General features: G+C 38.6%; 1 long non-coding RNA gene across 3 annotated transcripts in view; it reads left to right on the forward strand.

The window, feature by feature from the left end:
- The window catches only part of LOC124900962 (uncharacterized), a 109,210-nt gene extending 91,554 nt beyond the window's left edge, over window positions 1-17,656 (forward strand). For 2 of the 3 annotated variants that reach the window (XR_007058733.1, XR_007058734.1), the window contains one exon: window positions 2,603-7,967. This is a non-coding gene — a long non-coding RNA (uncharacterized LOC124900962). Of the gene's footprint in view, window positions 1-2,602; window positions 10,672-17,276 lie in introns of those variants that run through there. The other variant, XR_007058732.1, reaches the window with a different exon arrangement.
- Window positions 17,657-22,412: the final 4,756 nt, after the last annotated feature.

Here is a 22,412-nt window from a genome sequence, read left to right on the forward strand (position 1 = left end):
GTACTGTATAATACCCAGCTCATGGCACATGAGAAATGGTATTGGGTTGAACAAAGCATAGTAAAAAACCAAAGATTTCCCTCTAAAGTGGGATCTGCAGTGTAGCTGCTGCAAGTCCTCCTTTTGTTTCTCCAAGCACCTTTTTTTTTTTTCCTTTTTAAATTTTGTCCATATGTATGTGCACTTATTTAACTAGGTCCCATGGCAGTTAGCATACTAGTCACTTAGACCTAGACAAGTAGGACCCTGTACTTGGGAGTGCCTTTCTCAAAATTTCCCATCTTTTCCAGTGCCTGTGACCAACTGGGGATGGCAGGGCCTTCTGGGTGTGGCACTGGAGCCCAGGGTAGAACCTCTGTTTCTTCCCTCCTCAACACTCTACCCTGCATGGGGCACAACCAGATGCCTCCAGGAGCTCGAGGACTCAAATGTACAGGGTCATCCCAGGGCCTTGGTTCCAGGAGGGTAGACTGGTTCCAGGAGCCTGGCCAGTAGACTGCCCCCACCACTGGCAAAAATGTTTCTCTCCTGAGATCATGGGAGAGTATGCCTACAGAATGGTGCTGACGTGCTCATTTTTTTTTTTTTTTTTTTTTGAGACGGAGTCTCGTTCTGTCACCCAGGCGAGAGTGCTGTGGCGCCATCTCCGCTCACTGCAAGCTCCGCCTTCCGGGTTCACGCCATTCTCCTGCCTCAGCCTCCCGAGTAGCTGGGACTACAGGCGCCCGCCACTGCGCCCGGCTAATTTTTTTTTGTATTTTTAGTAGAGACGGGGTTTCACCGTGGTCTCGATCTCCTGACCTCGTGATCCGCCCGCCTCGGCCTCCCAAAGTGCTGGGATTACAGGCGTGAGCCACCGCGCCCGGCCGACGTGCTCATTTTGAGTGACTCAAATTATTTAGATAAACAGGGTCCACACAACAAATATTTGCCTGGGCCTTGCATATCCTTAGAGTAGCTCTGCCTCTAGATTATTCATTCTTAAATTTCTTAGAGATGAAACTGTGGGCTGTCTTACACTGAAAAGATTACCACAGTAGTAAACCTTGTTTCTTGGGAAAGAATCCAAGAGGATTTATGGAGACAAGTCAGTTAAAGCTGTTGTCCACATTTTTCTAGGGGACATTTTTATTTAGACAGGCATTTATGCCAGAATTTTTGTAAATGCATCATGAGAAAACGTCCAAATGCCTTAAAAAGACTTAAAAAAAAAAGGATAAAGACTGAAAGAGCTCTTTGCCACTCTTTTTCTCTCTGTCTTCTCAAAGCAAACCTAATAAATGTTTAAAAATATTTTAAAGCAATGAGAGAGAAAATCATGACCTTCTGAAACTCAGACTACTAGCTATCTGATTAATCTTCCTGGGAAACTTATCCTTGTTAATAATGTTTATATTGGACTAAATGCTGAAATAAGATTTTGGCTGTATTTGGATTAAACAAAAATATATTATCAAAATTAATTGTACCTGTTTCACCTTTTTTTTTTTAAGATAGAGTCTTGCTCTGTTCCCCAGGCTGGAGTGTACAATGGTGCAATCTTGGCTCATTGCAACCTCCGCCTCCCGGGTTCAAGCAATTCTCCTGCCTTAGCCTCCTGAGTAGCTGGATTACAAGCATGCACCATCATACCTGGCTAATTTTTGTATTTTTAGTAGAGACGGGGTTTCACCATGTTGGCCAGCTGGTCTCGAACTCCTGCCTCAGGTGATCCACCCGCCTCGGCCTCCCAAAGTGCTGGGATTACAGGCATGAACCACCCCACCCAGCCTTCATCTTAGTTTTTTAATGTGACTATATGAAAATGTAAAATTACATAGGTGATATATATTTCTGGTTCACATTCTATTTCCTTTGGATAGCACTGTGAGTTGTTAAAATTTCATGAACTGTGAACATAGACATGGAAGCTTCCTTAAAATTGGCTAGACATTTTAATTCAGCCAAACCGAAGAGGACAGTCATTGGCTGAAAATCTAGTGGAAGAGAATGGCGGTGAGAGGAGAGATCACAAGGGTTAGAAAAGTGCTTACCTATCTGAAAGGGGAGGGTTTGGGACAGGACTCAGAAATTGGTGCATCCAAAGATGACAGGAGGATGATCTGTCATCTTTGGATGCACCAATTTACTTCACAGAAAAAAGATGAAGTACACCCAACCTGACATGTGCACTCACTGACTCGCCCTTGGGCCAAAGTGTGAGTTCCTCATTCTTAAATCTAATCCCCATAGACTTGATTGCAGCTAATTTCTAGGACATGGCACAAAACTCTGGACTGAACTTCAATCGAAGGGGGATAATGTTTCAAAATCAACCTGCTGGGAACTTAAGCCATAGTAATTTAGGCATTCAATGCACACGTGACCTTGATTTTTAGTCAGAAGCTTGTGAGATGCAGAGATTTTTTTATATTGATACAAGAAGGAAGCCTGCAGGGATGGATTGATACATCTAGCTGCTTCACAATCCAGACAAGTCCTCAGGGATTTTTTTTTTAATTTTAATGTCTAATGTAAAATGCTTATAAGAAGTAAGATATCTGTCACACTTTCCACTTACAGTGCTTTTGTTCTTTCTGCCATTTGTCCTAACACCTTCCAGCTCCTAGGTGCTGCTGAAATGAGTGAGCAGGGTAATTGATGAGAGTTTGGGAGCTGGGAGAGCAGTGAGCTGATGCTTGGAGCCTTGCCGCGATCGGACACAGTAGGTTGATTTTCCCCTCAACATGCAGGACCATACCTAACGATTCCTTACAACAAAACAGAATACAAAGTAAAGAGGATTTGACACACAGCAATTCCTACCATCCTCTTGGCCCCCCAGCCCGGGATATTGAAGCCAAAGTTGAATTTGAAAAGCACATTTTCCCAAACTCCTATTTTAAAAGCAGACACTATCTTAATGGCACAGTGATAACAATTATATTCAGTTATTTTTTCTTCGATCCTGCCAAAGAGATGCTTGGGAAAAGCAAAGATTTTTAACATCTGGCTTGCCTGAACAGAATTCGTACTTCAGTGAAGAATGCTACATTATGAAGACTTCTCTTTCAATTCTTTTAGTTTCTGGATATCAATGAAGATATCACCACTAATGAAAGTGGTAAATCTGGGGAAGATTACTCAGAGTGGCAAGATTGCAACATTTTTCCCAGGGATTTTTAGGGACCCTCTCAACTAAACAAATAGCAGTAAAGAAGAATCACATTTTAAAATATCCTTCTAATGTACTCCATTTTAAATATATACACCTACTGTGTACCCATGAAAATTTTAAAAAAAATTTTAAGTATCCTTCCAGAGGTTTTGTGGAAAGGTGGGGTTTTATTTTCTAATATCACAAATATTACTTGTTGATTCAAGCCAGTCATCTAGCCAGTTATAGCAACTTCTCAAAGCTATTTTAGGAAGAAATTTTTGCTTCTTGTCATCTTCCCACCAAAGATAAGTTCTGGAGAAGTTCATACGCTATTAACTATGACAATAACTGAGACCTCAATTTACATTTTTCTCCTTGCTCCAAACTCATTCCTGGGTCACCAGAATAGACATAGATATGAATGTGTAGGCTCCATGAGGACCACACCAGGCAGGATACAAAAACACTGGAGTGTATCAGGAGAAGTGATTTGCCCTCCTCCTACCTGCCAAAGGTGGTGATTTAGAAGTGATTTAGGAGTAAGACTGGGGAGACTTCTTGAAGACATCTTGGGATATTAGAGTCATTCTATTCACACCCTCGCTCCTTGAGAAAGGGGATCATTTGCCATGGTCCCTCATAGAGAGGATCCCTAGAGACAATCCCGCAAAGCTCAAGGGTACATCTGAACATAGGGACTGGCCCCAGTTTCTCGTTTGGAGTGTGCCAAGTGACAGAACCCATTGGCACATGCCAAGCCCCACGCAAAGGCCACCAGAGAGCTTTGGACATAGGCAGAGGGCCTCAGAAAGGGGGGCAGAACAAGTCAGGAGAGGGCACAAATCACCTCCCAGTTCTTCAAACACCCAAGGTGGTTGTAATAGGGAGTCTAAGATTCTTGGGGCCCGAGAGGCCCCATAAGATGGCTGACTGGCTGGTTGAATTCTAAGCAAACTTCCGTTCCCTGGACACACAGGAAGCAAAGGGACTCAGTAGTAATATTAGTCTCAGGCTAAAGGGTCCCCTGTCCTGGACCCCATGCTTTACAGGGTCCTGCCTTTGCCAACAAATACATTTACTAAAGAACACGCATTGCTGCCATTCTGGGTCTGAGATCAGAGCTCAGAGCTGGCACAGACCAACCTAAAACTCTAAATATTTGCTCTCCCAGCTGACATTATGCAGGCCCCAGGGAAATCTCCACTTGCATTAGATCCTGTAAATAAAAGATGTTATATGCAAAACTCTGAAGGTTTATGGGCTGTGCTGCTACAGAGGCTGCTTTGGAGTGTGAAGAGGATAGCAGTATTGTTCATATTATGCTTAAATATGTATATATGTAGGTTTAGTTATATGCCTGAAGCATAATTCCTGTTCTTTACTATGGCAATTTGATGGACATTAAATCCTAGAATTGCAAATAGTTTTTTTTTTATAAAATAGGCTTTTTAATTTTAATAAATCTTGAATATTTGACATGAAATCTTAATTATTCAGAAATGTAGGAAAAGTAAATTTATTTATATTTGTTTACTCCAATTTAAATTTTCTTAATGCATTCAAATTGCATATATTTTTAATATAATTACATTTAATTTTTAATCCATTTGATCACTGCTGACACAAGAATACAAGTTATATATGAAAATATTAATTTTATCAACACAATTAGTGACTTTGCTAGAAATGACCAAAAAATTTTGATTCTAGCAAGTAAGTACATACTAATTTCTGAATTATTACTCATCCAAACATTGCCAGCCCATGAAGAGAATGCCCAGGTACATGCAATACAAATTAAATTCAATAGTCTTTGATATTTTGCTAATTCTGGGCTTTATATATATTTTTCTAATTTGTCCTCATAAAGGTATGTGTGTCAAGTGAGGATGACAGGACATATTTCATTTAGCAATTTGTTAGTTTGATTTATAATTCTAAAAAATATATACTTAGGGAATGGGGTCTCCATTTGCTCCATGCCTTGTAAAGTTTGGGTGGACATGAAGGAATCCCATCTGTAGAGGCTCACGGTAGACCACTATCCTGAGACTGGATGAAGCCGAAGTGAATGTCAAAATGCCATAGGCATCCAAGGATCACTGAGCCAGCAGGTGGTACCCATCGACCAGACTGGGTGATGATATTGGCAGCTGGAATCAGCAGAGAGGTGACTGAAATCAGCTATTCCACTTCCACCTGCCCCACTGCCTGCACCAGTCAGCTCATTCTTCCTCATCTTCCCCTCTCCCTGCTGCCTTCACAAGAAGTCAAACATGAGATTCCTTCCCTGGAAATTCACCAAGAGTTGAATGCAGTTTGAATTGCAGTTGAATGCAGGGAGTGAAGGCAGTGTGAAGAGAGAATTTTGAACTGGATAGTAATTGAAATGATAATACTTGAATTTGACTACAGATATATTACATTAAACCAGTGCTTAACAGATTGCAGTATTTTCCTGCTATAGAACATGAGTGGGAACTTATAAAAGAAAAATGGGCACCAAAATGAAGTGTTTCATGTTTGCTGATATTTGGGTTCTTCTAATGCCTACCTTCTACTGGTAGCACCATGCCAGAAAATAGGACACTTTTTTAATTGTTGAAATCATCAAAGATAGAAGGATTGGGATTATTCATTTGTTGGCTTGATGCAGTGACTTGTAATTCTAGCTGCACGATAGAATAACTGAGAGCTTTAAAAATGTTTCAATTTCCAATTTTGCCCCATCCCAGAATAATTGAGTGTGAATCTCTCTGTGTACAGATTCTATATGTCTTAAAAGCAACCCTAGTGATTCTAATGAGAAAATGGTGTTGTAACCCACAGGAGATACCTGCTTGGTCAATTGTTTGCCACTTTTGTGTCTGTGCTGTCAGATATTCACAGATTCACCAGTTAATGCTGTACTCTTTCCTCTTTCCCTAGCTGTGTTGTCATGGTCCAAGACCCTGCCTCAGGTGCCTTGCACAAGAGCTTGTTTACTGAGGGGTATGTGACAGCCACATCAGTGACCTGGGGAAATTAGCCTGTGTCAAAGCCAATTAGTCACACTGTTTCCACTTTAATAAAGGAGATCAATTAAGAGGAGAGCTGCACTGGAAAATTCCCAGGCCTGCCAGACCTAGGGTGTTATGTTGTTAGGCACCAAATTCATTCATTCACTCAACAACCATATATTTAGTGCCAGCTATGTGCTGGACACTGGAAATAAAATGATAAATACAGATACAACAACAACAACAACTTTCAAAGCACTCTCAGTTTTTTATCACCTCGGAAATCAATTTCTCACCTGCCTATTTTTTAAAAAATTGCCTTCTCTCTTGCATTGTTTCTGATATGGAATCTTGTTATCTTTATCTTTACTCTTCTGTATATAGCATGTGTTTTCTCTCAGACTGCTTTTAAGACTTTAAAAGCCCCTGAATTTCAACGACTCTTTTCTAGACTTTGGAATTTGAGAGGTCAGTAATCTTTTTAGTTAGAAGAGTTACCAGTTTTAATTGTGCAAGGTAAAAAACAAAATGAAAGATTTTTTGACACACAAAAAGTAGCAAATAGATCATCTCAGTATAAGGAATTGCAATTTAAATTAAATAAATTTAGCTTCATGAAAAACTATACAATTTTTTTCTCCTTTTGCTGCTTCCTAACAAGCAGTTGTTTGAAACCTTCCTTACTTCCTTTTTCCTTTCTTGTTTAAAGCTTGCTTTCTTTGTTTCTTTCTTTGTTTCTTTGTTTCTTTCTTTCTTCCTTTTTTCTTTTCTCTTTTTTCCCTTTCTTTTTCTTTCTAATGAGCAGTACCTGTTCTCATTCTCCAAATAAATATTCTATGATCAAATTACACTTCCAGCCAAGATAGAGAAAAAGACCAGATTTACCCTCTCACCTTAACCAATAAATTTTAGAAGTATATGAAACAATGGTTTTCAGGACACTGGATATCAGACAAAAACAGTGATTCCTGAAAGACAGGAGATGAATGAGGTGAGTCCTGTGATTACCCCGGTTTAATGTTTTGAGAGAGAGTCCAGTCTGTAGTGCAGGGGGGAAGAACCCAAGTCGAGCCTGGAAGACTCCCTGACTAGAAATAGAGCTAAAAGTTGGGAGTGAATAAAGTGACAAGAGTCACTGGAATGTCTACCAGGCAAGATATCTGAAGATCTGTAACTCCCTTTGAGTTTTAAGCTGAGCAATAATTAGCACATGCATGGAAGGAAACTACCTGAGGCCAGGAACAGAATCACCTGGAAGGACAGAGGTAACAGTGTCTGGCATTCACACAGAGTCAACATAGTGCCTGTACCCAGAAATCACACTGGAAAACCTCATGTTTCATAAGGCATTTGGTAGAATACTCAGAAAGGTCTTGTCTTGGTAATGGGGGATAATTAGCCCTGTAATACGAGGACTGCTCTCGTCCCATTTAATAAATCATGAAACCAAAACCTGAAAGGATTGAACTATTTTCACATACATTAACTGTGTCCCAGAACAAAGCTGATTTGGTTTGGCTGTATCTCCACCCAAATCTCATCTTGAACTGTAGTTCCCATGATCCCTACATGTCATGGGAGGGACCCAGTGGGAGGTAATTTAATCATGGGGGCCGTTACTCCCATGCTTTTCTCATGATTGTGAGTGAGTTCTATGAGATCTGATGGTTTATGAGGGGCTTTTCCCCTTTTGCTTGGCACTTTTCCTTGCTGCTGCCATGTGAAGAGGGATATGTTTGCTTCTCCTTCCACCATGAATGTAAGTTTCCTGAGGCATCCCCACCCCTGCAGAACTGTGACTCAATTAAACCTCTTTCCTTTATAAATTACTCAGTCTTGGATATGTCTTTATTAGCAGCATGAAAATGAACTAATACAAAAACACAAGAATATTTACAGAGATATAAAGCTTGCAACAAGGTAAAATTCCCAATCGCTTTGCGTTTATACTGAGTAATGGGATTGCTGGGTCAAATGGTATTTCTGGTGCTAGATCTTTGAGGAATCACCACACCATCTTTCACAATGGTTGAACTAATTTCCATTCCCACCAACAATGTAAAAGCATTCCTATTTCTCTGCAACCTTGCCAGCATCTGCCAGTCACCATTCTGACCGGGATGAGATGTTAACTCATTGTGGTTTTTATTTGTATTTCTCTAATAATCAGTGATGTTGAGCTTTTTTTCATATGTTTATTGGCTACATGAATGTCTTCTTTTGAGAAGTGTCTATTTATATCTCTGTCCATCAACAATAGACTAGATAAGGAAAATGTGGTACATATACACCGTGGAATACTATGCAGCCATAAAAAGGAATGAGATCATGTCCTTTGCAGGGACATGGATGAAGATGGAAGCCATTATCCTCAGCAAACTAACGCAGGAACAGAAAACCAAACACCGCATATTCTCACTTATAAGTGGGAGCTGACCAATGAGAACACATGGACACAGGGAGGGGAACAATACACACTGGCGCCTGTTGAGGGTTGGGGTGAGAGGAGAGAGAACATTATGAAAAACAGCTAATGCATGCTGGACTTAATACTTAGGTGATGGATTTATAGGTGCAGCAAACCACCATGGCACACATTTACTTACATAACAAACCTGCATATCCTGCACATGTACTCCAGAACTAAAAATAAAAAGAAAAAAACAAAAACAAACAAACAAAAATTCCCAATTGTTTACATCGAATTAATAATTACCAGGCATGCCAATTATCACTAGGGATAAAGAAAAACATAAACTATAATAGGAAAAAAGCAATCAACCAAAATAAACACAGATCTAGATACATGGAAGAAATAACAGACAAAACAGTGATTACAACTGTATTGCTTACAGACAAAAAAGTTAAACAGAGACACAAAAGATGGTTTTAAAAAACAAATAGAACATCAAGAGATGAGAACTACAGTTTCTGAGATGAAAAAACTTCACTGGATGAGATTCACAGAAGATTGAACATAAGAAAAGAAAAAAAGTAGTGAATTTTCAGATAGAGTAATAGGCACTATCCAAAATGTAATATATAGAGAAAATAGATGTTTATAAAAATGAACAAAACATCAGTGTACTATTGGACAGCTTCAAGTGGATTTATTTATGTTTAATCAGAATCACTCAGAAGGATGAGAGTGGGAAGGGGCAGAGAAAATATTTGAAAAAATGATGACTAAAATTATTTCAAGTTTGATGAAAGTTTCAAACCCACACAGCACAATCAAATTATTCAAAACCTGTGATAAAGGGAAAGTCTTAAAAGCACTCTGATAGAAAACACATGCTATACATAGAAGAGCAAAAATAAAGATAACAGTAGATTCCATATTAGGAACAATGCAAGAGAGAAGGCAATTTTTATTTATGGTGATTTTAGAACACTCAACAAATTAGAAATAGAAGGAAATTCCTCAACCTTATAAAGAGCATCGATGAACAACCTACATCTAACCTCACACATGATGATGAAAGACCAAATAATTTCTCCCCAAGATAAGAAAAAAGAAAAGGATGTCTGTTCTCACCAGTTCAAGTCAACATTGTACTGGATGTTCTAGTCAATGCAATAAGGCAAGAAAAAGGAATAAAAGTTATCCAGATTGAAAAGGTTGAAGTAGATTATTTTTTTTCAAATGATATGGCCCTTTATGTAGAAAATATAATGACATCTACAAAAAAAACTACTTGAATGAATAAATGAGTTTAGCAAGGTGGCATGATATAAGATTGATGCACAAATTAAATTGTATTTCTATATCGTATCAACAAACAATTAGAAATTGAAATAAGACAATGCCACTTACAATAGTATCAAGAAATAGGAAATACATTTCTTGTATAAATCTGACAAAATACGTGAAAGACCTATACACTGAAAACTGCAAAACATTGCCTAAAAACAATTAAAGACCTAAATTAATAGAGATACATTATCGTTCATGAGTTGAAAGACTCAATATTTTTACAATTGCAATTCTTTCTAAATTGATCTGTAGATTCAACACAATCCCAATCAAAATTTCAGCAGACATTTTAATAAAAATTGGCAAATTGATTCTAAAGTCATATGGATGGCATTCAACCAAGGTGGAAAGCAAATAAATAAATAATCATACGGAAATGCAAAGGACTTAGAATAGCCAAAATAATTTTGAGAAAAAAACAATATAGAGGACTGACACTACTTGGTGTCAAGACTTTAATTATAAAGTTACAGAAATCAGGACAGTGAGATATTGTCATTAATACAGACAAACAGATCAATGGAATAGAATAAAGTGCCCAGAAATAGACCAACACATATATACACAACTAATTGCTGATAGAGGTACAAAGGCAATTCAGTGGGGGAAAGAATAGTTAAGTCTGCTCTAACAAATTAGCACAAGCTGGGTGATTTATAAAGAATAAAAAGTTACTTCTTGTAGTTACAGAGGCTGGAGGTCTGAGATCAGGATGCCAGCATGGTTGGATTCTGCTGAGTGCCCTCTTCCAGGCTTCCGATTGCTGTCTTCTTGATGTATCCTTACATGGTAGAAGAGGACAGGAGAGCTCTCTGAGGTTCCATTTACAAGGGTGCTAATCCCATTTATGAGGGCTCCATCCTGAAGATCAAATTACCTCCCAAAGGCACCACCTTTTAATACCATCACACTGAGGATGAAAAGTTCAACATATGAATTTTGGAGGGACACAAACATTCAATCCATTGCAGACAGCCTTTTCAACAATGGTACTGAGACATTTGAATATCCATAGGCAAAAATAAATGAACTTAGATCAATATCTTCCACTACATAAAAAAATTAACATCAATGGTCATAGACTGACAAGCTAAACTCCAAACTATAAAACTTGTAGATGAAAACATAGAAAAATACCTCTGTGACCTGGTGTTAGGCAAAGATTTCATAGATATGAAAGGTAGCATGAACCATAAAAGAAAAATTTGAAACATTGAACTTCGAAATTAAAAACTTTTGCTCCTCAAAAGATTTTAAGAGAATAAAAAGACAAACTACATACTGGAAGAAAATATTTACAAATCATATATTTGATAAAGAATGTATAAGAATATAATAAGAAACTCTCAAAATTTAATAACAAGAAAACAACCAGTTTTTTAGGATTAATTTTAATTTTGCAAAACAAGTCTTTAAAAAAAACAAATCACTAGGAAAAGACAATCTAGACCTAGAATTTTTGGCAAATAAACTCTACCTCAATTTTCAAACTATTGTGGCTACAAGAAAATAGAAGAATAACAATTAGAATTGGGGTTAAAACTGAATAAACAAATATATAGTTACTCACTAAAATAATAGTTTTAGCCAAGTCAACTGCAAAGAGATATGCAGAATGTTAATAGAATGAGTTGGATCTTAACATGTATTTGATAATATCTTATATTCTACTGGCTACTTAATAACCTGATGCAAAAAAAAAAAAAGCTTTTTTGAAGAGTAGACAAATACCGATAAAAAACACGTGCTCAGCACTTCTGTGTACCACTCATGAAGACATCAAGGACATCCCTGAGAGTTGGGAATGGGGAGGGCATCATTCATCTACAGGAATGTGGAAGATGTAGAGAAGCCTGAAGTCATCATATGCATAATATGGCATATAAAACACATCCAGAAAATGCAAGTAAATTAAAATTAAAAATACTTTGCCCCAATCCTCTTAAGCCAATGAGAATATTCTCTTTTTTTAAGAAAGTAAAGGAATGAAAGAATGACTACTCCATAGGCAGAGAAGCCGAGAATATTCTTAAAATTGCACTTTCTTAACATGTAAGTTATGTCTTCCAAATAGCCTCCTGAGCTCAAAAATAAGGTAAAAATCCCTGTTGAACTAGTATTTGCTACTTTACCCTCACTGTTGCGCTGTCTCTCTCTCTGTAGGTAAGGAGAGGATGTGTTCACAACAGCTAAGAAACAAACCTGCATGCGTACCCTCTGAATCTAAAATAAAATAAAGTAAGAAATCCTCAAGATAGTAAAGTATAACTGAAAAGTCAAAAATCAATGGGTTGAATGGTTGATCTATACTGAGGATATATTTGGCCTCATTACCCATACTTCGTATTATAGTGCTACATTACTTTATGACAATCACAGATATTAGGAAGGAAAACCGTAAGGCAATGCAGAAAAAAATTACTGTGAACCAAGAAGCCTAGATCAAATTCTCCCATTGCTTGGGGATTCTACAAGAGTTGTAATCTTCAGTTAATGGACTAAGTGGTCTGGAGGTCCTGTTGCTCCTATGTTCTTCAATGACACAAGAGACTTTTAGGTCGTCCATCCATGTATCATTGGCAAAGCTTCTGGGGCTTTGTACACACCATGGTTGTGGATCTTAGCAGGGACGACACCAGTCTGGCTAGCTATTGGACTCAGGTTTAAAGCATTATTGCCTGAACCAGGGCTAAATTCTCCCAATAGAAGGGATGTAAATTTAGAAATTCCAGAAACAAAGTCTAGGACAATGTTTAGATGTCTAGTTTGTATGACAAAACAGTAACAGCCCTATGATTTGTAGGGGGTCTATATTGTCAATTCTACTGGAAAGAACACTTTGCAAAATATTTAAATCTTTTCTGCACTTAAAAAAAAACAGCAAATGTGTCTTCACACCTTAATTTTAGCTGCTAAATTTTATTGACCAAATGGTTTTATTTAATGCTTTTGCATTACATCTTTAAGTACAGTTTCTCCAGGTATTTTCTTTTCCAGGAAAAATAGGTGGAAATTTTGCCTTTGTCTCATTTTAATAAGATTAGCTGCAAGCCTGTATAAAACGCCCATTTTGCTGTTGTTATCAGGAAAATGTAATGCCCTGGATTCTAAATATTAAACTAAGAAAGACTGTAAGGCAGAACATGCATTTTACACAGCTTCAATTACTGACTGCCTTCTGCTTGTGCTGGGGCAACACCTTTTGCCCCATCTTTCTCTGGCTGTTGACCAGAAGCAGGAAGTACAGAGATACATTTTAGTGATGAAGGAAAGGGGCTGCATCAAGGGTGTCTTCAGGCCTTAAAAATATTTTTGACCGCATAAATTCTCATTTCATCTAAACAGGTTTCTCACAGACCTCTCAAAGAAGTCTAAAAAGCCATTCTAGCAGAGGTAATGTCAACATATTCAATTGTAAATAAACTCTGAATGTGAAGTATATGAATGAATCATTGCTTTGTCATTTGTTTTGTGAAGTTCACTTTTCAGAAAATATTATTATATTGAGGTTTACCTTGTCCAAACTCAAAGACCTGAAGACATTCTAACAAAGCTATTGACTATTTCCCTTTGCCCTTAGCATATATTACAATGACTTTGGCTCTTTAGACTTGTACATGCCGGCATATAATTTATAAGTTGCTAGAATTCAGTTTTTCTTTACCAAATTAAGTATGTTTATACTAGAGATAAGAAAAATAAAGCTTACCAGAAAAGCATGGTCTTTTTCATATTTTTCCAGCTGTCTCTGTCAGAACTCACTGCCCGTTGCTTGAAACAACATCTTTCTTCCTGGCTGTGAGCTCCTGAGATGTTGGATTTGCTGTTTATATAATCTTTTATTCAAAACATCAAGAACTACATCTTTGGGCAATTTTTAAAAATTAAGGATACAGCAGTAAGCAGACAAAGTCCCTGCTCTTTGGAGCTTTCTTTAGATGATGAGTGTGAAGTAATGTAAATAATCAACCATACATTAGGAAGGGGTTCATATGTACTCAGTTCTGTCCTAGGGACTGTATTAGTCCATTTGAGCTGCTATAACACACACACCATAAACTGGGTGACTTAAACAACAAACACTTATTTATCACAGTTCTGCAGACTGGGAAATCCAAGATCAAGGTGCTGGCAGATTTAATGTCTGTCGAGGGCCTGCTTCCTGGCTTGCAGATGGCAGTCTTCTCACTGCCATGATGTAATTATTAGGTTGTTGCAAAAGTAATTTCGGTTTTAGCAATTTTTAAAAGTAATATCTCCCCAAAGCCCCACCTCCAAATGCCATCGCCCTGGGGATTAGGCCTCAACATATGAAGTTAGGGTGTGGGTGACACAGCATTCAGTCCGTAGTAGGGAGCCTTGTGGAGTGGAAGGATCCAGGTTCCTTAGGACTAGAGTGGCAGACAAGCTTTTGCTGGGACTTCAGCTGGTGTCTCACTTTTGTAACACTGTTTTCATCTCACAGGGTAGGGACCACAACAGAGACAAGCTGGGCTGCAGCGCTCATAAACTGATTCCAGGCAGATTCTCTTTAAGCGTGTTTTACCTTTCTTTCTTTAAACCAGCCCTTACCTGTTTACTGGAGAAAAACTTCTTTCCTTTCTCTTTTATTCTTCACTTCCCTCTTGATTTCATTTCATTTCACCTACTGATGGCTTTTAAACATTAGAGTAGTATGAATAAAACATTTTAAAGCCCAAATAAAATCTGTGTTTTGAAATAAAATTAGCTAAAATTAATAAACAGTGACAGCAACCTCACCAAAAAGCCCTGACAGGCATGTAGAATTCTCCTTAAGGAAGTCTCCATCTGACTCCTTATCATACTTTCATTGGCTCCCCTCTTCCCCAAGTTGACCACTTAAATCAACCTGCAGACTTACCCAGTTTTCATTCCAGAACATGACCAATTCAGACAGTATTTAAGGATTTAAGAAATTCTAGCCACCTCTCTCCACCCAGGACTCAGCCTGAAGTCATATTTTACTGATGAATGAAAATAAATATCATTAGGCTAAGGTCTGGGGTGTATATTATTATTATTGTTGTTATTTTTAGAAGTATGCTATAATAAAGAATGTTTCTTTTTTTTTTTTTTTTTTTTTTTTTTTGAGACGGAGTCTCGCTGTCGCCCAGGTTGGAGTGCAGTGGCGCGATCTCGGCTCACTGCAGGCTCCGCCTCCCGGGTTCACGCCATTCTCCTGCCTCAGCCTCCCGAGTAGCTGGGACTACAGGTGCCCGCCACCTCGCCCGGCTAATTTTTTGTATTTTTAGTAGAGATGGGGTTTCACCGTGTTAGCCAGTATGGTCTCGATCTCCTGACCTCGTGATCCGCCCACCTCGGCCTCCCAAAGTGCTGGGATTACAGGCGTGAGCCACCGCGCCCAGCCAAGAATGTTTCTTAAAATAAGACTCTAACCAAACTTAGGATCATTTGCTGAGTTTCTTTAAAATGCCTATGTCTGGGCCTCACATCATATGGTTCAAAATTGCTGGGGTTGAGACCTGGAAATCTGTATTTTAATAGCATCCTATGCATTTCTGATACACACTCAAGTTTTGAGATCCTTAAGGGTCCCAAACACAGTCCCAAACACAGGGAAAATATATTTGTATCTACACATAAGTCATTTTGTTTATCTGAGTATATAGGACCGGAGAAATTACACTTAAAAAATACTTTTTAAAAAATTACCTTTATAAATTACTTTTTAAAAATGACTCTTTAAAGAAATTAGTATTATGAAACTTCATGGTCATATGACTGGAACTTTTAGTGATTTTTCCCCATATTTGCATATTAATTCAAGTCCTTCTTTATATTTCAACCTCAACTTGAATTATGTTATTTTATTCTACCTGATTCCATTGAGTAATTATTTATGTATTTATTTACCAAACAACTGTTTAGGGTCACTATGGTCCAGGCACTATGCTAGGATTGGGGATACTTTTGAGGACCTTAAAAATTAAGGGGAGATGTGGTCAAGGGAGTACTGAAGTCATCTAGGTAAGTAGGAAATTATAACACAACAGGGCAAGCATCATGATGAGAGGTGCACAATACTCACACGAAATAAACTATTAACACAAAGATGAGCCATTTTCTTCTTATTATTATTCTTTTTTTTTTTTTTTTTTTTTGAGATGGATTCTTACTCTGTCACCAGGCTGGAGTGCAGTGGGGCTATCTCAGCTCACTGCAACCTCCGCCTCCCGAGTCCCAGTTCAAGCAATTCTCCTGCCTCAGCCTCCTGAGTAGCTGGGATTACAGGCACGTGCCACCACGCCCAGCTAATTTTTATATTTTTAGTAGAGACGGGATTTTACTATGTTGGCCAGGCTGGTCTTGAACTCCTGACCTCGTGATCTGCCCACCTCGGCCTCTCAAAGTGCTGGGATTACAGGTGTGAGCCACCATGCCTGGCCAGGTGACCCATTTTCTAACCACAACACCAATCCTCTGACTTCTACAGCTGCAGAGCCACCCAACAATGAGCCTTGTCTTCATTTTTCTGCCACCAGCAAAATGCTCTATATCAGTAAGGCTTTAGAAAAAGGAACGTAAAAAGTAGTTTAGATGTAATTGTAACTGGAATAAAATATCCCCAATTCTGAGGGACTTTTTCTCAATAGGGAAGAATAAATATTTCTATTGCCCCTCTTACTTTCCAGAAATAGGTAGGTATAATAATCCTGCTCAAGAATGGAATCAGGAGTTTCTAAAGAAAGACAAGTAATTTCAAAATGTTCACTGATTCTTTAGATTGCTAGAGATGGTCTTGGAGTAAATTGTTTAACAAAACACCTTAATCAATCTCCAGATTTGGAGACAAGTGACCTGATCCTAGTTTGGTTCCAATGGATTGTAGTTAGGTCAGTTTCTCGACTGCACATTATTGACATTTGGGGCTGGATAATTCTTGGCTATGAGAGGCTGTCCTATGCATTGTAGGAGTTTTGCAGCATCCCTGTCCTCTACCCACTAGATGCCAATAGAACCTCCCTGCTCAGTAGTGACAATCAAAAAGGTCTCCAGATATTGCCAATGTGCCCTGGGAGCAAGGGAGCAAAACTACCCCCAGTCAAGAACCACTGGGTTACACGGGTTAACTGCCTAACTGTAGTTAGAAAGCACTAGAAAGTAACAGCAATTTGGGGAGGTTAACCTGGCATCTAGGGAGAAACGTAAGGAAGAGGTTAGCTTCCAGCAACATACCAAGCCTAGTTTGAGAAAATCCCAGTGATAGGGAAGTCGTTGGTTTTATAAGAAGAGTAATGTCTAATAAAATTGTAAATTTAAAATTGTTTTCTGTTTTGTCCTGAACTGAAATTTCTGTTCTCTCTCTCTCTTTTTTTTTCTTTAACCTGCAAACATCCAGTAAAATTCTATTGCATAGCAATAAGGGAATTGTAGCCTCCTCAACTTGACCCCGCTGGTGCCCAGAATTCTAGCGACCAAGAGTGAAATAAGCAAGATGACCCTGGAAATTGTGGGTAGGAGCCAGAGAACAATGGAGAAGCCACACTGACTTACTTAGATGAGGACGTGAGACATGCTGTCTTTTCCCCAAATACTGCAGGAAGGTAACCACTGTGGGAGAGGAGATACATTCTCTTATTGTATCTTTCTCTTTCCTGGAAAAGTTTTTGAATATAATAGCAGGTTATCATATTTCAAATGGATTAGGCACCCTATTTTCTATATGCATGGGAAAGGATTAGACAACCTCCTGGAACTTATTTTTAAATTGGTAATTTTAAAGGAAGACATGAATGCTGAAACAATGAACACTCAGTACTTTTGATTTTAATTATATTTTTAAATGAATGATTGAGGTAAGGGTGTTTTTTTGGGTTTTTGTTTTTTGTTTTTTGTTTTTTTTGAGACAGAGTTTTGCTCTTGTTGCCCAGGCTGGAGTGCAATGGTGCGATCTCGGCTCACCGCAAGCTCCGCCTGCCAGGTTCAAGCGATTCTCCTGCCTCAGCCTCCTGAGTAGCTGGGATTACAGGCATGCGTCACCACGTCCAGCTAATTTTGTATTTTTAGTAGAGACGGGGTTTCTCCATGTTGGTCAGGCTGGTCTCGAACTCCTGACCTCAGGTGATCTGCCCGCCTTGGCCTCCCAAAGTGTTGGGATTATGGATGTAAGCCACTGCACCCGGCTGAGGGAAGGTATTTTTTTAAAAGCTTATTAATTGTGGAGAAACTATAAGAATATACAAAATAAATCCTTGCATTTTTTGCACATAGTCAAATTAGGATAGTGGGGATATGGATAATGCTTTTTTTCCTGCTAATTTTTTTCAAATGTCACTAACCCTTTTTAGTAAAAATAATGTATATATATATATAAATTATATAATAAATAGCTAGTATGTGTATACGTTAGTTAGGTGACCCCACCACAATTAAGAAATTTAAACAATGGATTCAATATAAAACAGGTAAGATTACCTTTATACAGAAGTGATTCCAACAAAGTAGGATTTCCTCAGGCTGAATGTGGGACTAGGACCTATAATGTAATCAAGACTTAAACAAATGTGAAGGCCAGAAAACTGGACCCCAGCATTTCTACTGCTGTTCATGCTGAGGGAATTACTTGAGAAATAAAAGGTGCTCAGATTAGCTTGAAACATGCCATGAAGTAGGTTCATAATTCACATCAATACATAAAGACTCTGCAGAAGTCTTGCAGGAATAAGCACTTAACATTGCTTAACCCCAAATTTTCCAAGCTTACGTGTTATTCTATGGGATGTACTTTGCATAACATGACTGGTTTTAGCATCTGAAGAAAACATGAGCAAACAAGTATGAATAGAGAGATGAGAGAGGTTGGTACAGAATCAAAAAAAAAAGGAAAAACCCCCAAATTAACAAAGCGTCATCTCTCTTTAGCACCAGGTGGAGAAGACGCTGACTGATGACCATGGGTATTTGGTTTGGTTTGTAGGCACGCACCCAGGTGGAGATGACATGCCAGGCCTTTATTGACAATAGCCATTGAGATCATTCAGTTGCTCCTCTGATTCCATTCTCAGAAAACAGCATTTTGACTACAATTTGGCTTTTCATATAACTTTATTCATAGGCAGAAAAAGCAATAATGCTATTCCTGTGTGCTTGGTAATTTCCTTTTGCAAGTAATTAACTTAGCTTTCTGGCATGAGTCTCTTCTGCATTTTATCAGCTGACTAAGTCCATCTAATCCTAACTACTTCAGAAAACTCTGGAAAAAAATCAGCTTTGTACCTGCAAGCTAAGGATTAAGCTTAGGTTTTAATGGTTCTTCCTAGTTACTCACATTTCTTTCTAGTTCTTGCCAAAAGACATGCCTAATTTTAACATAGCTATAATCGCAGCAGAAATGCAATTTATATTCTGCTTTTTTCTATGTTTCCAGATTGCTACATAATTTCTGTAATGATCATTTTTAATGGCTGCATCATAGCTAATGAAAGTGATAATTTCTTAAGAATAATTTGCCAAGCCATTCTTTAATTGTTAAACTGTTAAGCTGCTTTTGATTTTTCCATAGATATATAATGAACACCTTTGCATTCTAGCCTTTTCTTTCCTTAGAATTTTGATTATTATATCAAGTGGTATAAATGTTTTCATGGTTCTGTAGATGCATTGCCAAATCATTTCTTAAATGGAGAGAAATAATTTACATGTTTAATGCCTCTCAGCACTGATTTAAATTTTGAAAATAAATGCTTAATGGAATAAAAAAATGATGTTCTTCTCATTAAAAAATAATGGATTCAACATACAGAAATTTAAAAAGAATGATTCTGTTCAAAGAAGAAATTCCAGGAATTAAGCGTTAACCTAGCTGAGAAAAAGGCGGGGTGGTAGCGCCTGCTCCCTCAAATATTTCTCTCTTACCAGAGCCCAGGACAGGCGGCAAGTGGAAGGCATTCTGTTCCCCCCAGCATGGACTGCTTTTGGGGAAGGATGTAAAGGATAAAAGAAGCTGGGCGCGGTGGCTCACACCTGTAATCCCAACACTTTGGGAGACCAAGGCAGGCAGATCACTTGAGGTCAGGAGTTTGAGACCAGCCTGGCCAACAAGGCGGAACCCCATCTCTACTAAAAATACAAAAATCATGCTTGTAATCCCAGCTACTTGGGAGGCTGAGGCAGGAGAATCGCTTGAACCCTGGAGGTGGAGGTTACAGTGAGCCAAGATTGTTCCACTGCACTCCAGCCTGGATGACAGAGCAAGACTCAGTCTCAAAAATAAAAATAAAAATAAAAATAAAAATAAAAAATAAAGGATAAGAGAGCAAAGAGGTGAAGACGGTTTTGATAATGTCCACCTAGATCACTGAAGAATTGTTGTCCCGTTTACAGAGACAGAAAAATTTGTAGAAAAAAGCAGCTTTGCGTTGGGAAGTGATTCATCTCCTTTCAGATATTCTGAGTTCAAGTCTTGCAAGAGTGGAGTACAGGTTGTAAGAGTGAGAGATCAGAACTGCAAATGCAGGAGTAGAATCATTAGCTAAAGGTGATGATAATTGTATCTTTGAGAGAGAGGAAGAGGCAGAGAGAGATTGCAAGAAAAGAGAGCAGAGGGCAGAAGGCTGTGTTCTGTGGATATTTTCCCAGGTTCAGGGGACAGGAGGAAACAGAGTCGATGATGGAAAGGGAGGGAGAAAGGCAGTCAGGAGGAGGTAGAGAGAGGAGAGAGTTTCAAGGAGGACATGGCCAAAAAACACACCCTTCAACAAAGTGATGAAGAACTTTGGCTGGCCAGGAAAGGCTGAACTTAGCATTAAGGATCTTTGGAGAATGTGTATGGGAGAAGGGAGGTGGGAGTTGTGGGGAACAGAATCCAATTTCCAAGGAGGAAGTGCAGAAGAAAAGATGTTGTGAACGTAGACTACTCAGTTATAGGTGATCGACTGCTCCAGGAAAGAATGAAGTGGAGAGAAAGTAGCAGGATCAAGCAGATGTTTAAGCAGGAAATACATATTTGAAGAAGGGACCAGGAAAGACGCTAAGAATAAAGATTCTAAACAAGTGCAGGGCGCGTTCAACATGCATAAACTCGCTGTGGTAAGAGCAAAGCTGTGTATGCAAAAATCTCTTAAAACCTGCTAATCACATGCTCTATAATAGTAGCTTTCAAACTCTGTTGACAGTAACCAAGAGTAAGAAAAACATATCTGAAACAAAAGTTTCACTCTGATATTTTCTATTGTTATTTTCCATTTGTTCATCATCTTCCTCTTCCTTGTCCTCCATCTCTCCCTTCCTCTTCTTTACTCCTCCTCTTCCTACTCCTCCTCCTGCTCTTCCTTCTAGTGGAGTCCCACTAAATACATTTCATAACCCACAATTTGGAAAACTCTGACCTACAGGGTGGCCTTAAAAGCAACATTTATTTTGGGAGAGTTGTATTACATAAATATTTCTCCACTATATGCAAAAATATTTTATCATAGCTCTTAAAATATATATAATTCTGATTCATATCAAATACCAATACACTATAATCTTCTTCTTCCTTCTACTAACAAGATTAGAAGAGCTAAATATTTCGCCAGACTCCCTTACAGCTATTCAGCTGAGGGGCCAGGTGTCCAAGTTCTGACCAATGAGACCTAAGCAACTATCTGCTGGGATTATTGGAAAGCATTTGTTTTCCTGCTGTTGCTGTTCTGTGCCTTTCCTTCCTGCCTTAAAAGTGAAAGTCATGCCTGAAATGGAAGCAGCCACATTGTGACCATGGATGAAAAGTCAAAAGAATCCCAGGGGTATTGGTCCTGACAATGTTGAACCTCTGAAATGAGGCCAACTTCACTTTGTGACACTTTCTGCATCACTAAACTTCAGGAGAAAATGGTCTTCATGTCCAAAGCACAGAGCAATTCTATATCTGGTCCTTCAGTTCACACATTTGCCTTATCTTCATTAAACCTGGAGGTCCCAGCCAGGTATGGATGAGCCTTGCGTGAAACAGAGAAGAGCAGGGCTTCACCATTGCACCTCAAAAACCAGAGAAAGCACCAAATGGAGCTTGTTTCATATTAGTTTCTATAAAATTTCATATTGGTTTCTATAAAAATAGAGGGTCTTCACTACAGTGGGCTAGTTGATTTTGAGTCTTGAGAGGATAAATTGACGGTAAGCATAGAAGACCCTAGCCCTGAGCTTTACGACTTCCCTGGCTTTTCCTTCTCACAATTAGTAGCTTTTCAGAAACACCATCATTGGCACAAAGGGTGGCAAATGAGTTATGATGTTCAGGTTTCCCTGGGAATTCTGGCCAGGTGGTGAGTCTCAGTCTTATTAATTTGCACTTCCTGTTGCTGACCTTGTGGGGAAGGTCAGAGTCTCTCCAGGTGATAAGAACAGATAGGACTGAACCATTCTTTGGGCTTAGTGTGAGTCACTCACTGCAAATTGATCAAGTTACTGTGATACCCCCTGTATTAGTCAGACTTCCCCAGAGAAACAAAACCAATAGGATGTGTAGATAGACAGATATGTAGATAATAGA

Source organism: Homo sapiens, chromosome 5 (genome assembly GCF_000001405.40).
Source record: "Homo sapiens chromosome 5, GRCh38.p14 Primary Assembly".
In the NCBI taxonomy this organism is placed as follows: domain Eukaryota; kingdom Metazoa; phylum Chordata; class Mammalia; order Primates; family Hominidae; genus Homo; species Homo sapiens.